The sequence below is a fragment of the Homo sapiens genome, chromosome 3, assembly GCF_000001405.40.
Source record: "Homo sapiens chromosome 3, GRCh38.p14 Primary Assembly".
NCBI classification, from domain to species: Eukaryota; Metazoa; Chordata; class Mammalia; order Primates; family Hominidae; genus Homo; species Homo sapiens.
Window position 1 is genome coordinate 133,749,594 of NC_000003.12, and position 14,411 is coordinate 133,764,004.

Sequence of the window (14,411 nt, forward strand, 5' to 3'; positions counted from 1 at the left end):
GAGAGATGTAATGAAGGACTGAGCCTGGGTGGGCTCCAGTGTAAAATACACCAGGCAGCAAACAAGAGCATATGCAAAGGGCCTGAGGCAGAGCAGAGTGGGCTTATTTAAGTTGCTAGTGGGAGGCCAGGGTGATGGGAGCTGTCAAAGATAAGCACAGCCAGATATTAGTTTAGGCAGTGACAATAGGTTTCATTCAGTAACTGCTGACAGTGGGGGAAAGAGCTAGGCTCCATTCTGATTTGTGCAGTGGTGATGTGAGCATTTTAAAGGGAGAATGAGGGAGGGGAGAACGCAGGGCTCTGTAGAGTCAGAGAAGTAAAAAGGTAGAAAGGGCTGGTCAGTGTAAATGTGAGGAGGCCAGCTGTGTCTGATAGCTGGCAGTTCTCTCGATTAGGACTCTATTCTCCCGCAGAGACTGCGAGACAGACACTCTATCCATCCTGATGATTGTGTTGCAAAGGAATGGCTCTCAGTCCTTGAGAGAGATGCTTGTGAGTTTCAAGAGATACATATTCACAGTTTTAAGTCCTTTTTAGTAAATTCTCTTGGAAAGGGAGGTCAGGGGCCTATCATCAGTTGTGTGTTGAGTAGAAGAAACAGGTACATTTTCCTGGCAGCACTGAGTTTTCTCAGGCAAGCACTTTAAGGGGAACCGGGCCATCCTAGGGACACAGATTTGTTCTGCTAGGAGCCATGCCAGAGTCTGGTCAGGTCTCTTAGTGCAGAGGTTTGGACAGATGTGTCAAGTGTGGGAAATTCTACAGTTCTCAGCACAAAGCAAGCAGTAGGTTAGCCGAAGGGAAAAGGTGGAAGAAACATCCAGATGCAGCCTGGCTTCCCTCAATCCCCGCGCTGGGGTTTTCCGTGTCTTTCTGCTGGCTTCCCCTTGGCTTCCCTCCAGCCTTCTCTCTGTAGCTTTCCCTCTTCTGGGTTTGGTTATTTTGACTTGTGAGAGCTTGCTTGATTATAATCCTGTCCCTCCCAGCTGGCGCAGGTTCCCCTGGGAACCCTGCAGCTCTAGGGCTGGACGCTGTGTTTTAGGCCTTAGCTCTTTGGCTCCCTGAGCCCCCGAGGCACCAGTGATTTCTTGGTGTCTTGGCAAAGAAAGACCAGGTTCCTGACCACTCTCCCAACCCCACTGCAATGGGCAAAGCTCTCGTTTGTTTGCTTCATTTTTTAAAAAATATATATATATTTTATTATACTTTAAGTTCTAGGGTACAAGTGCACAACATGCAGGTTTGTTACATATGTACACATGTGCCATGTTGGTGTGCTGCACCCTGTTTGCTTCATTTTTATTCAACAATGTGAGGACTGGGGAAGGGAAGGTGTTTGCAGATTAAACAAAACCACGAAGTGTGTTTCATATATAAGGTCTAGTTGTTGTGGAACAGAAAGGCCCATGATGTCTGTTAATTTTGTTTTGTATTGTGGTATATTAAAAATATGTTTTACAACCCAAATATCCATTGATGAGTGAATAGATAAATAAAATGTGGTAAACACAAATGATGAAATATTTTTAGCCTTAAAAATAAATGAAACTCTGATATATGCTACACTGAGATGAACCTTGAAAACATAAGTGAAGCAAGCTAGATACAAAAGGACAAATATTGTAAGATTCCACTTTTTTTTTTTTTTTTTTTTTGAGACGGAGTTTCGCTCTGTCGCCCAGGCTGGAGTGCAGTGGCGCGATCTCGACTCACTGCAAGCTCCGCCTCCCGGGTTCACGCCATTCTCCTGCCTCAGCCTCCCGTGTAGCTGGGACTACAGGCGCGCGCCACCATGCCCGGCTAATTTTTGTATTTTTAGTAGAGACGGGGTTTCACCGTGTTAGCCAGTATGGTCTCGATCTCCTGACCTCGTGATCCGCCCGTCTCGGCCTCCCAAAGTTCCACTTTTATGAAGTATCTAGAATAGTCAAATTTATAGAAACAGAAAGTAGCATAATGACTACCAGGGGCTGGAGTGGGGGAGAAATAGGAGGTAATTGTTTAATGTGTAAAGAGTTTCAGTTTCTGGAGATGGATAGATGTGATGGCTATAAAACAACGTGAATGCATGTACTTAATGCCACTAAAATGTACACTTGAAAATGGTTAAAATTGGCTGGGTGCGGTGGCTCACGCCTGTAATCCCAGCACTTTGGGAGGCCGAGGCGGGTGGATCACCTGAGGTCAGGAGTTTGAGACCAGCCTGGCCAACATGGTGAAACCCCATCTCTACTAAAAAAAATACAAAAATTAGCCGGGTGTGATGGCAGGCGCCTTAATCCCAGCTACTTGGGAGGCAGAGGCAGGAGAATCGTTTGAACCCTGGAGGCAGAGGTTACAGTGAGCCGAGATTGAGCCATTGCACTCAAGCCTGAGGGACAAGAGCGAGACTGCTGATATAGTTTGTCTTACAACATATTTTATTTCATTTAGAAATACTATTGTCTTATTACTTGATTGTAACACAACAAAGTTCATGGAACTATAGCTTTTGCTTTGTAATTTTTTTTTTTTTTTTTGAGAGTCTTGCTCTGTCACCTAGGCTAGAGTGCAGTGGTACAATCTCGGCTCACTGCAACCTCTGCATCCCAGGTTCAAGCGATTCTCCTGCCTCAGCTTCCCAAGTGGCTGGTATTACAGGCATGTGCCACCAAGCCCAGCTAATTTTTGTTTGTTTGTTTTGGTAGAGACAGTGTTTCACCATATTGGCTAGGCTGGTCTCGAACTCCTAACCTCAGGTGATCCACTTGCCTAGGCTTCCCAAAGTGCTGGAAGTACAAGGTATGAGCCACTATACCTGGCCTGCTTTGTAATTTGATCAATAAGAAATCTTCATAGAGAACTGGCAAGGGCTTCTGGAAAAATCATTTTGATTAAAGACATTTAAAACAAAAAAGGAGTAAAACTATGTGTTTAAGTGTCTAAATAAAAGATGGTTGGGCTCACTTTAAGGATTTACATAAAAAGAAAATAAATTATAGATCTAGTAAGAAGGCAGCTATAATATTTCAAGGGACCTGTTGATGTAAAGATGAGGGCTTACAGAAGCACAAAGTCAAAAAGGAACATAACCTGAAGTAACAGTGTAATGATAAGAAATAAACCCGGAATGTCTGCACTGAAATCCCAGCTCCATGACTTACTGGCTATGTGGCCCAGGGAAGTGACTTAACCTTTCTGTGCCTCATATTTCTCACTTGTAAAATGGAGCTGAGAGAGAAAGAGAGATGAGCTGCCCATGTGTTGGAGTAGACAATTATACCAGAGATGAGCAAAAATGGAAATAATAATCAAGCTTTTGATCATTCAGTACATAGTATCACCAAGAAGCTAAACCCAGAGAAAGTGCCCAATCCCTCAGCAAAAGGGTCATGCAGTTTTATGGACCCAGGACAGGAAGGAAGAGCATTGAGTACTGAGTCAGAGTGAAGACGAATGTTTTCAAGGTTCCCATCTTCCCCCAGAAAAAAAATCTCCACAGAAGCACCTGAGGAAGACCTCAAAGGAAGTCTCAAAATAAAGAGGGCTCTGAGCAAAGGTCATGGGCTAGGAATGAAAACAGGTGTAAGAAGAGCGTGGCCAGCCCAAGAGAGCTGTGTCCTTGACAGCAGAGTCCCCTCCAGAGACTGCATTGCACTGGCTGTGCTCTGAGTCTGGGGTGGCGAGGGCGGCTTTCTCCCACGGAGCCTGCCAGGTTAAGCCTTCGTAATTGCCTACGGTAAAGTCACGTAGGATTTTTGGCCAGGAGCTGGGCACCTCACCGGGGAAAAGAGAAACACAATCCATCACTCCCTCTATGCAGAAGGAATAGGAATGTGGTGGCTAAGTGCCCTTGCGAGGGAGACAGAGTCAACTGAAGCCAGCAGGGCTGTGCGTGGTCTAGTCAAGTTCTGGCCCTGGGTCCGTGGAGTCCTGGTAGCCACTCTCTACTTGTGTGGGTTGAGGTGGGCCTTCCTTGGAAGTCAAGGCTTCATCCAGGACTGGCCTGTTCTCTTTCAGGCAAACGAAGCGGATGCTGTGACACTGGATGCAGGTTTGGTGTATGATGCTTACCTGGCTCCCAATAACCTGAAGCCTGTGGTGGCAGAGTTCTATGGGTCAAAAGAGGGTAAGTTCTCCCTGGGACCCCAGGAAGGAGTTGTCATCCTTATTCTATATGCTGAGTGCTGTGTTTTACAGGCAGGTTTTGGATATCAGATATAATGAACATTCATCTTTGGAGAGTGAGTAGAGAATGAGGGGCCCTGTCAGCTGCCACAGCCACACATCAAGGCCTCTGGGGGCTTTGGGCTGGCTGAGGACTGGTGCTCCTAAAACTGAGCCCTGGGCCAGGGGCATATGCTTATCAGAGAAACACAGCAGGCTGTGTGCAGCTTGACCTGAAGGCTACTGCGGTCTACTGATATGTCTAGGGTCCCTGGAGGCCTCTGGAGCCATAGGTACCACTCACACAGGAGGGGTCACTCTGGAGCACACACTCAGAGGCCAGCAGCCCTGCAAGTCTTCTGAGATCAACCTGACTGTCTCTGGGCCTGTGCCAGGGGACATGAAATACTTTGATGGGCCTCTGTTACCACAGCTCCAGTTTCCTGGTGGCTGAGGTTGGTAGGTGTAGGCAGACACGCTGCAGGGCCAGGGGAGGCAAAGCATTCAGGACACATGTGCGTGTGGCCTTCTTGCCCCTGTTTGCCTGGAGGGGTAATATTATAAATATTCCTTCTATGGTCTTCTCTCTCCCCTGCAACCCTAGGAAGGTTTTCCTGATTCCCCACTCCTTATCGCCCAGTCCAGTAAAAGCATGGCCTCTCCGCTCCCCTCCCTCCTCAAGAGTCCGGTGGTGATGAGCCATGTTTCCCTGCACCAGGCTGAGGGCCTTCCATTCACACTGTGCCTTTGCAGATCCACAGACTTTCTATTATGCTGTTGCTGTGGTGAAGAAGGATAGTGGCTTCCAGATGAACCAGCTTCGAGGCAAGAAGTCCTGCCACACGGGTCTAGGCAGGTCCGCTGGGTGGAACATCCCCATAGGCTTACTTTACTGTGACTTACCTGAGCCACGTAAACCTCTTGAGAAAGGTAAGCTGGCAGGAGTCTGGGTGCCCTCGAGCAGCTGCCTCTGCTCCAGATGCCCACACAGGCTGCACTAGACAGTCACCATCAGCAGACATGTGGGATGAACTCAGGTGGGGGAAAGAGGTTAACAGACTTTAAACTGGCAGGTCTGCTGCACCAGCAGCACTTGGGAGGTGGAGCTGAGCTTTTTTCTGCTCTGAGCTTCCAAAACCCCAGCAGAGGCTGTTCTGATGAGTGAGGAAAGGGCGCAAGGCTCGGCAGAGGGTTTCAGTCTAGGCGATGGTGGTTCTCTTGTCCACTTCTCTGGATTTCTTTCCTGGAGGTTTCTCTGGAGCCCTGCACCTCTCTTAAGCAGTTCTCATGTCTGGGGCATGGATCCCAGAGGGGACCTCTCTCTGAGCTGTTCCAGCCTCTGACAAAGCAGGGAGAAGGTGCTCTGAGAAAGACCCGAGATAGGCCTTGGTTAGTGGGAAGCATAGGCCTGTTTCCTCTGATGGATGGTGGCCAGACAGAGGTCAACTTGTTCCTATTAGAAATCCTTGATCTTGATGAGTTAGCATAAGGGCAAGCTGGGGCTGCATGTGCTGGTTTGGTTTTAGTCCCCTCTGTTCCCTGATGGGCCTGGGTGGGGTGATGCCATTGGCTGTGGCCAGCCTCACTCATGCTCTGTTGTCCATTTCTCTGTGCTGAGCAGCAGTGGCCAATTTCTTCTCGGGCAGCTGTGCCCCTTGTGCGGATGGGACGGACTTCCCCCAGCTGTGTCAACTGTGTCCAGGGTGTGGCTGCTCCACCCTTAACCAATACTTCGGCTACTCGGGAGCCTTCAAGTGAGTGAGATGTCTGCTGCTCCATGGTGGCCAAAGTGCCAAATGTCCTCAGGGTGAGAGTTCTTTGCTGGTCCAAAGCCGAGCCCTGCCTGCCTACAGGGGCATCGAGGTGGCCTAATCCCCTCCCAGTGAGTCAGAAGCACAACCTGGGACTCCTAGGCCAAGCCAGCCCATGTTCCCTTTCATCTGACCCTGACAAGTAGGTCCTTTTCCTGGGGACCCTTCCTTTCTCCCCAGAGCCCTCAAGCCTGGTCAGTGTCTCCTCTCGGTGGATCGGGCAGAGCCTGAAAGGACAATCATGCCTCTAGTGTCTGGGCCCACTGTCCAGGGACTGGCCCTCTTCCCTCAATCTCAGCAGTGTTACCTGCTCAGCACACTGCCTGTCTCCTGCCCCCATCACCGTCTCTATCTGGGAAGCTGATTTCTTGCTTTCTCTTTTTACCTTGATTATATCCTAAAGTTTTACAACCAGCCAAAGGCACATTTTCACCCTCAGGAGACACTATACCATTATCTTCTATTCCAGAAGTTTAAAAGCTCTTTTCACATGAAAATATCTTCAGTTGCATTTTGCTTCTTTGGGTTATGAGGGCTTTTTATCTCGTGTGAGCTCATTCCCCCATCTCAGCACTACGCTGGAGGTCTGCACACCATGGTGTTGCTTCAGCTACGGGGCTGCACCAGGCTCTATCCTAGTGTGAGTGCTGGACAGTGTGATCAGACTCTCCAGGTGCAGGAGAAGGGCCTGCCCTGCAGGAGCCCTGCTGATGTGTTTCTTTGACCCAGGTGTCTGAAGGATGGTGCTGGGGATGTGGCCTTTGTCAAGCACTCGACTATATTTGGTAAGAATGGGACAAGAATCCACCAGGGCCACTCCAAGTAGTGGGTGTTCTTTTTCTGTGTTCCCTTTTTCATGCTCAGTAATTGGAAATGAGCATACTGTATTTCTCCTTTATCATTGCCTGGGTTTCCACCTGTGCAGAGTTAGGTACCTACGGGGTCCCCATCTGGATTCCTGGGCCTCTTTCCATCATTCAATCTCTCCACACGGTGCCTCTGCCTCTGGGGTAGTGTTGCCATAACCAAAGACTGGGGGTTGGTGCTGCTAAGATCAGGCTCATGGTGGAATGAGGAGCAATCACTGCTACATGGGCATCAGAAGCCTTTACCTGGCTGTGGGCTCTTGAGCGAGTCATTCTCCCGCATGTTCTCTGGCCTTCAGTGCTCACTCCAGACCTCTCAGCTCATACTTTCTATGATCAATTGAATTTCAAGGATGGGCACCACAGCCCATGGCTCTCCTGTGTTAAGCTCACCTGGGCTTTCCCTCCCCAGAGAACTTGGCAAACAAGGCTGACAGGGACCAGTATGAGCTGCTTTGCCTGGACAACACCCGGAAGCCGGTAGATGAATACAAGGACTGCCACTTGGCCCAGGTCCCTTCTCATACCGTCGTGGCCCGAAGTATGGGCGGCAAGGAGGACTTGATCTGGGAGCTTCTCAACCAGGCCCAGGTATCCCCACCTGCCATCCTCCCCTCCAGCTTAGTGCTCCCTGCTTGGATTTGGGGGTTTTCCTCCTGGCCATCTTGTCACTCTGGAAGTCTGTGTGTTCAGGATACAGTGGGAGCCATGCCACATGTCACTAAGTTCTCTAAAAGCTGGGACTCCCCACAGAGCAGCAGGGAGCCTGCTGTGGTGCTACCGTCTGCCGCCCTTGCCTTTCTGGCTGGTGACACCTGAAGAGGCTCTGTATTGCTCTGTTGCATTCCTTTCTACCTAAACTTCAAGGCCCAAAGCTAAACCCCTCCCCAAGGAGGCTTTCCATGACCCTCCCAGAAGGAAATGGTCTCTCTCCCCATGCCCCTCAGCCCGGCTGTGAGGGGGCTGCCTGCACAGCGGCTTTACTTCCCAAGAGCTGTGTGATTTGGGCTCAGCCAGCTTCCTCTTGCCGAGCCGTCCCATCTGTCCACTGAGAGTTTGACTGGTAACCACACAGGGCAGCCTCTGGATTAGCCACGTTTCTTGTTCTCACCGATGTCTCAACCCGTTCCGGGAGACAGGCACAGAAGCAGGTTCAGGCAAATCGCGGACCCACGAGGGCTACAGGCAGAGGAAGTGCTGGGTGAGCAGGAGCAGGTCCGACTGCCCTCTCTCCTGGCATCTTGAACTTTTTCATGTTGTTTCCTGCAGAGATTTCTTTTCTCTTCAGTCCCATTTCTCAGCCTCCTTTCTTCTGTGTTGCCATCCACTATTCTGTTTTTCTATGAACAGGAACATTTTGGCAAAGACAAATCAAAAGAATTCCAACTATTCAGCTCTCCTCATGGGAAGGACCTGCTGTTTAAGGACTCTGCCCACGGGTTTTTAAAAGTCCCCCCCAGGATGGATGCCAAGATGTACCTGGGCTATGAGTATGTCACTGCCATCCGGAATCTACGGGAAGGCACATGTGAGTACCTGGGAAGAACCAGGTGACCACAAGCACTTGGGAAACCTGGTGAGCACAGGGGCCAGAGATTGAGTCTTTTCAGGGACCTGCACGCCTCTCCTGATGCTCCTTTTTCTGACCTGTCTGTGAGCCCAGTGTTAGACTGATGCTGAATGGCGTTAGTCATTATGAGATGGCCTTGATGTCACCATGGGCTTTACAGGAAATCCACATTTAAAATGACGTGGGTTGGTTCCAGTATTTCCTTTGCATCAATCAGGACTGCCTTACCTACTCTGTGAAGGCAATTAGCTTATCACAGAGTAAGTGAAATAGAACAAAATTGCTATATATTGCACATCTCCAGCCAGTCAACATGTACCATAATGAAGAGGTGCTCTAAGAGAGGTTGATCCCAGTCCTGGATTTCACTGAGTCACTGTGGTTTTGCTTGACCATTCATTTATTCAGCAGACATTTATTGAACATCTAGCCATATGCTCTGCTAGGTGCTGGACATAGGATGGCATGACAAATATATATTTGATTCTGTTGTCCTGGAAATTTCAAACTGGGGAGAAGATAAATGTTTAATGAATAGTCATGCTATTGGATGATGAATTACAAAGTAAGAGATATGTTTAAAAGGGGAAAAATATGACAACAAAATACCATGGCCCTATGAGACTGCAAAACAAAGAAAAATAGGCCCTGGACTTGGCGTTAAGGCAAAGCTTCCTTGAGGAAGTGACTCTTGAGCTCAGTCTGAAAGATGAGCAGATGTACATTTATTCATCAGACATTTATTATGCTGACCATGTGCTAGCATTGCCCTAACCCTGAGGATGCCCTGGTGAACAAGACAGGCAGGGCCCTTTCTGTGTTGGAGCTTCTGTTCTCCTGCAGAAAACCTGACAATAAACAATGAACATATAAATAAGAACACCTCCAGTAGTTAAGTGCTATCTGAAAAACAAGAAGGAAAAAAACAGCCAGAGGTCATATAGTGCCCAGAGGCTGGAGAGGAAAGTTGGCTTCTCGGAAGACATAAAAAACTAAATTTAAATGAGAAGTCAACCAAGAGATTGTGCATTGACTTTGCTTTCTAAGGTGATTAATTCCTTGAATGGGGTCTGTTTGTTTATTGCTGGCAAATCCCAGCATTTGCATGAAGACAGTGAGTAGTGCTGACAAACACCAGGCAACAGCTAGGGCCGCTTCTGATCTTTGTTCTTTTTTTATGCCATAGGCCCAGAAGCCCCAACAGATGAATGCAAGCCTGTGAAGTGGTGTGCGCTGAGCCACCACGAGAGGCTCAAGTGTGATGAGTGGAGTGTTAACAGTGTAGGGAAAATAGAGTGTGTATCAGCAGAGACCACCGAAGACTGCATCGCCAAGATCATGGTATGTCACTCCAGCCTTCCTAGGGCAGCGTCCCTGTCATTGCTGCCTGCTGGCCCCCAAGACTGAGCTAGGGAGTGTTCCTGGGAATGATGCAAAAACCTGGCTCCCAGGAACCTTGCCCTGACTATGTGAGCACAGCCCCACCGGAGGTTCAGAATCTTTGAGCTTGTGGATCTGAAGGGTGCCCACAGGGCTCAGTTTCCTCCTTGTATGAGTGTATGGTGAAAGGGCAGGCTGAGCAGTGCCTGCTTAGGGAGGCTGGACCATGGTGTGGGTGTCCTGAGACCAGTGGTGTGCCACGATCACTGAGATAAGATCCTGAGTACATGGTAGGATCCAATCAGGTACAAATTTGCTTTGTTGATCAAAAGAGTATCCTAGCCTGGCATGGTGGCATGCACCTGTAGTCCCAGCTACTTCGAAAGCTGAGGCAGGAGGATTGCTTGAGCCCAGGAGTTCAGGGCTAGCAACTTAGCAGGACCTTGTCTCTAACAACATTTTTTTTTTAAGAAAGAATATTCCATGTTGGCTTACAGAGAATTTTTAAAATCCTGAATGATATAAAGAAGAAATAAAAAGTACTTATAATCATGTAATTCAGAGAAAATTCCCTTATTGGGATCATTTCATGTAGGTTGCTTGCTACCTTTTACTCACTCACAGTATCTAGTAAGCTTTTCCCATATCATAAATCATTCTTGTAAAACCTAATCTGGAGCTTCTGTGTTAGTGCACACATCGAGATGGGGGAGTATGGTTTGCCTAGAGAGAACATGAAGTGCCAAGCTCCACTCCCCCTCCTCCCCACATTTCTTGCCCTCTGTGTCTCTTCCATTTGGCTATTCTTGAGTTGGATCCTTTATAATAAATCAGCAAATATATTGAAACAAAGATGCATATTATAAAGGTACTTCCTGCCATTGTCAACAGATTTTTGCTGAAATATGTTAATTCTACTTTTTGAGCACTTATGAATAACCATGTATCTTCAGAACTATCTACCATGAAGCAAAAAGGGACCATCAAGCTCATTATTTTATATTTCATACAATTTATAGATATCACTTTATGCTATTTTAACATATATTCCATTTTAATTTTTGTCTGAGTCAAGACAAGAAAAACCAAACTAAGTTAAAGCAAAGCCTACAAATTCAAAACCTGAGTCTATACAAATCTGTTAGCAGTTTGAGTGGCTGGGCTTCAATATTATACTCTGGATGTGATACAATAGATAAAGTTTTTTACGTCTGTAAAAAAAAGGAAGAGCAAAAGACTCTTGGGAACATGTGAAATCTTAAATGAAGATTAAGTACAACCAAATGTAAACATATTTTAAAAGGTTCTTCTTGGACATCATAATTTGCTCTCCTATGAAGATGTCATCGTTTGAGCCTTTAATGTTGGAAATAGCTTACAGATGTTGGGGCAGAAACCAAAGACCAACATTGCCATGTTCTGTGAGACCACGTCCAAGTGGATGATTGCTGGATAGGTATGTTTCATGCATAACATTTAGTTCATAAAATTATATGCTACTTTAGGAGGTCCAGGGCCCATGGATTAATGAAACAAAAGTAACTAATCTCATTGCTAGTAAAGAATTATTGGAAACAAAGTTGAAAGACATAGTTTATTTGGTCCCACACCTGTGACACATCATCACTGTCAATGGGAAGCCACTGACCTGTCCCAATTTCCCAAGGTTGTTATCATGGACATCATGGCTGCAGTAGAAAGTGAAGGTGAGTGTGGAAAACAGATCCCAAAGTGACCAGTGCCCTCGGTTATTGCAGTAATCATGTTCATGAGTAGACACACAGGACTTCCAAAGGGAGTCATCATCTCGCATAGAAACATCATTACTGGTATTACTGGGATGGCAGAAAGGATTCCCAGACTGGAGGAGGAAGATGACTACATTGGATATTTACCTGTGGCCCATGTTCTAGAATTAAGCTTTGAGCTTCTTTGTTTTTCTCATGGATGCCTGCTTGGCTCCTCTTCACCCCAGACTTCAGTGGATCAGTCTTTAAAAGTAAAAAATGGGCTGCCCACTGTGGCATGCAGCTGTAGTACCAGCTACTCAGGAGGCTAAGGTAGGAGGATTGCTTGAGCCCAGGAGTTTGAGTCCAGCCTGGGAAACATAGTGAGACACCATCTCAAAAAAATAAAAAATAAAAAAATAAAAACCAGAAGCAAAGGGTGTACTTCTGGGTTGAGACCAACACTGATGGCAGCTGTTCTGGAAATCATGGATCAGATCTACCAAAATGTCATGAATTAAGTGTATGAAATCAGTAGTCTTCAACACAATCTGTTTATTCTGGCTTATAATTATAAAATGGAACACATTTCAAAAGAGCATAGTACTGGATTGTGTGACAGCTTTGTTTTCTGGAAACTGTGAAGCTAGCTAGGTGGAAATATTCAGCTTTTATTGTATGAAAGTGCTCCACTTTCTGCAACACGCAGCAAGTTCATGAATACAGACTCACTGAACCTACAGGGGCTGGAACAATTACAGATGTGTGGATTACAAGACTGGCAGAAGTGAGAGTCCCATTAGTTTGCTGTGAAATTAAATTAAAGAACTGGGAGGAAGGTGGATACTTTAATACTGAAAAACCACATCCCAGAGGTAGAATTCTTATCGGTGGCTAAAATGTGACAATGGGATGCTACAGAAATGAAGCAGAAACAAAAGCTGATTTATTTGAAGATGGAAATGGACAGAAGTGATTATGTCCTAGAGATGCTGAAGAGTTTGATGGTTGTTTACAGATGATCGATCATAAAAAGGACCTTGTAAAACTACAGGCAGGAGACTATGTTTCCCTTGGGAAAGTAGAGCCAACTCTGAAGAATCTCCCAGTAATAGATGACGTTTGTGCATTTGCAAACAGTTAATTGTTCTTATGTCATTGGATTTGTTGTGCCAAATCAAAAGGAACTAACAGAACTAACTTGAAAGAAAGGACTTACAGGAACTTGAGAGTAGCTCTCTAACAGTTGTGAAACAGAAGATGAGGTGCAGTAGTCCCCCTTTATGTGAGGTTTCGCTTTCTTGGGTTATACCTACAGTCAACCGTGGTCCAAAAATGTTAAGATATTTTGAGAGAGAGAGAGAGCACATTAACATAACTTTTATTATAGTATGTTATAATTGTTTTATTATTGTTGTTGTTAATCTCTTACTGTGCCTAATTTATAAACTTTATCATAGGCTTGTATGTATAGGAAATAAACATTGTATAGGGTTTCAGGTTCCAAGACTGGGGGTCTTGGAACATATCCCTTGAGGATAAGAGGGGACTACCATACGTAAAGTACTTTCTGAAGCTGCTATTTGGGCGTGTCTGAAAAAGTTTGAAAATCTATTAAAAATTGGTTTGAGCCCTGACCCATGAATCCTGAAACTGGTCTGGTGACAGGTGCCTTCAAGCTAAAACACAAAGAATTTAATACACATTACCAGGCAGACTCTGAGCGAATGTGTGGAAGAAATGATTTTTCTCTTTTGGCATCAGTTTGCTACAGTGAGCTCAAATCAAATAGGAAATTATTTGAAATGCATGTTTCAAACTGTGAGGCAAACTCCATTCTTCATATTCAACCTAGATTTTTACTTCTTAAGACATCACCATTTTCAACAGACAGGATTAGTAAAATAGTAGGAGAGCAAACTTGTGTCTGTCTTTTTCCTTTTCCCCTCCTACAACTACCTTTACCTAACCTGTGACTGTATTGTCAGTATAAGGAGTTTTCTGAATCATAGTGAGGAAGCAGATTTCTAAAACCTCAAGTTTCTAAACATGACCTATATATTCAGTTTATGTTTAAAGTTTGGATGTGTAGAGGGAGTTATGGAAAATATATAAAGTGGCTGTTGGGGGGTGCTTTTTAACTTACAGTATTAAAAAAATGCAAGGCTATTGATGTGAAATTACATACATTTCAAATGCTTATGAATCAAATCATTATTGAGGATAATATTTGCTGATGTGTAATTACTATCTTGCATGAATTAAGAGAAATAAATATAGCCATACTTACGTTTTAAAGAAAAAAATGATATTTTAAGACTGATATCTATTCCATAGCATGGATGTGCTTCCACTTATTTAGCTATTTCTCTGTCATTGAGCATTTAGTTTAATTTTCTTTTTGCTATTATAAATCACACCTGTTATTTTTGCCCACTTACACATTTTGTCCAAATAGTTGCCCACCAATCTGATTGTTCTTTTATGGTTTATTACTAGAAAGTATATTGCCAGGCCAAAGGGAAATCTTACAAACCTTGTTGAATCTAAGCATCTCTGAAATTTGGGGCTTACTAGAGCTGAGATTTAGAACATTTGAAAATATTTGACTCATTCATTAAACATGTTGTATGCACCAAACACGGAAATAGCACTCAGCCAAGGAGGCTGACATTAGAGGCTAGAGCCCCCCTTCAGAAGGTGCTGTGTTCCACAGCCACAGCCACGAGTCCCTGACTCCACTCATCCATCTGCACGTGAGAATTCTTGGTGTCAGAAATGTGTCGTAGGAGTGTCTCTGGGACAGTGTGTCCTACAAGAGGGCAAGAGGACTGAATGTGGGTCTTTGCTCTTGAACTAGGCACCTGGAGTTGATGATCAGTTCATGATGGTTGGGTGAAAATGAGAGT

At 45.5% G+C, this 14,411-nt stretch overlaps 1 protein-coding gene and 1 pseudogene across 3 annotated transcripts in view; both read left to right on the top strand.

Annotated features, from left to right (window-relative positions):
• The window catches only part of TF (transferrin), a 134,644-nt gene that overhangs the window by 87,596 nt on the left and 32,637 nt on the right, over positions 1 to 14,411 (top strand). For all 3 annotated transcript variants that reach the window (NM_001354703.2, NM_001063.4, NM_001354704.2), the window contains 7 exons: positions 4,002 to 4,110; positions 4,902 to 5,078; positions 5,770 to 5,902; positions 6,689 to 6,744; positions 7,238 to 7,416; positions 8,176 to 8,353; positions 9,582 to 9,736. In NM_001354703.2, coding sequence (NP_001341632.2) covers positions 4,002 to 4,110; positions 4,902 to 5,078; positions 5,770 to 5,902; positions 6,689 to 6,744; positions 7,238 to 7,416; positions 8,176 to 8,353; positions 9,582 to 9,736 — 987 coding nt within the window. The remainder of the gene's footprint in view (positions 1 to 4,001; positions 4,111 to 4,901; positions 5,079 to 5,769; positions 5,903 to 6,688; positions 6,745 to 7,237; positions 7,417 to 8,175; positions 8,354 to 9,581; positions 9,737 to 14,411) is intronic.
• On the top strand, positions 11,918 to 12,769 carry ACSL3P1 (ACSL3 pseudogene 1; annotated as a pseudogene).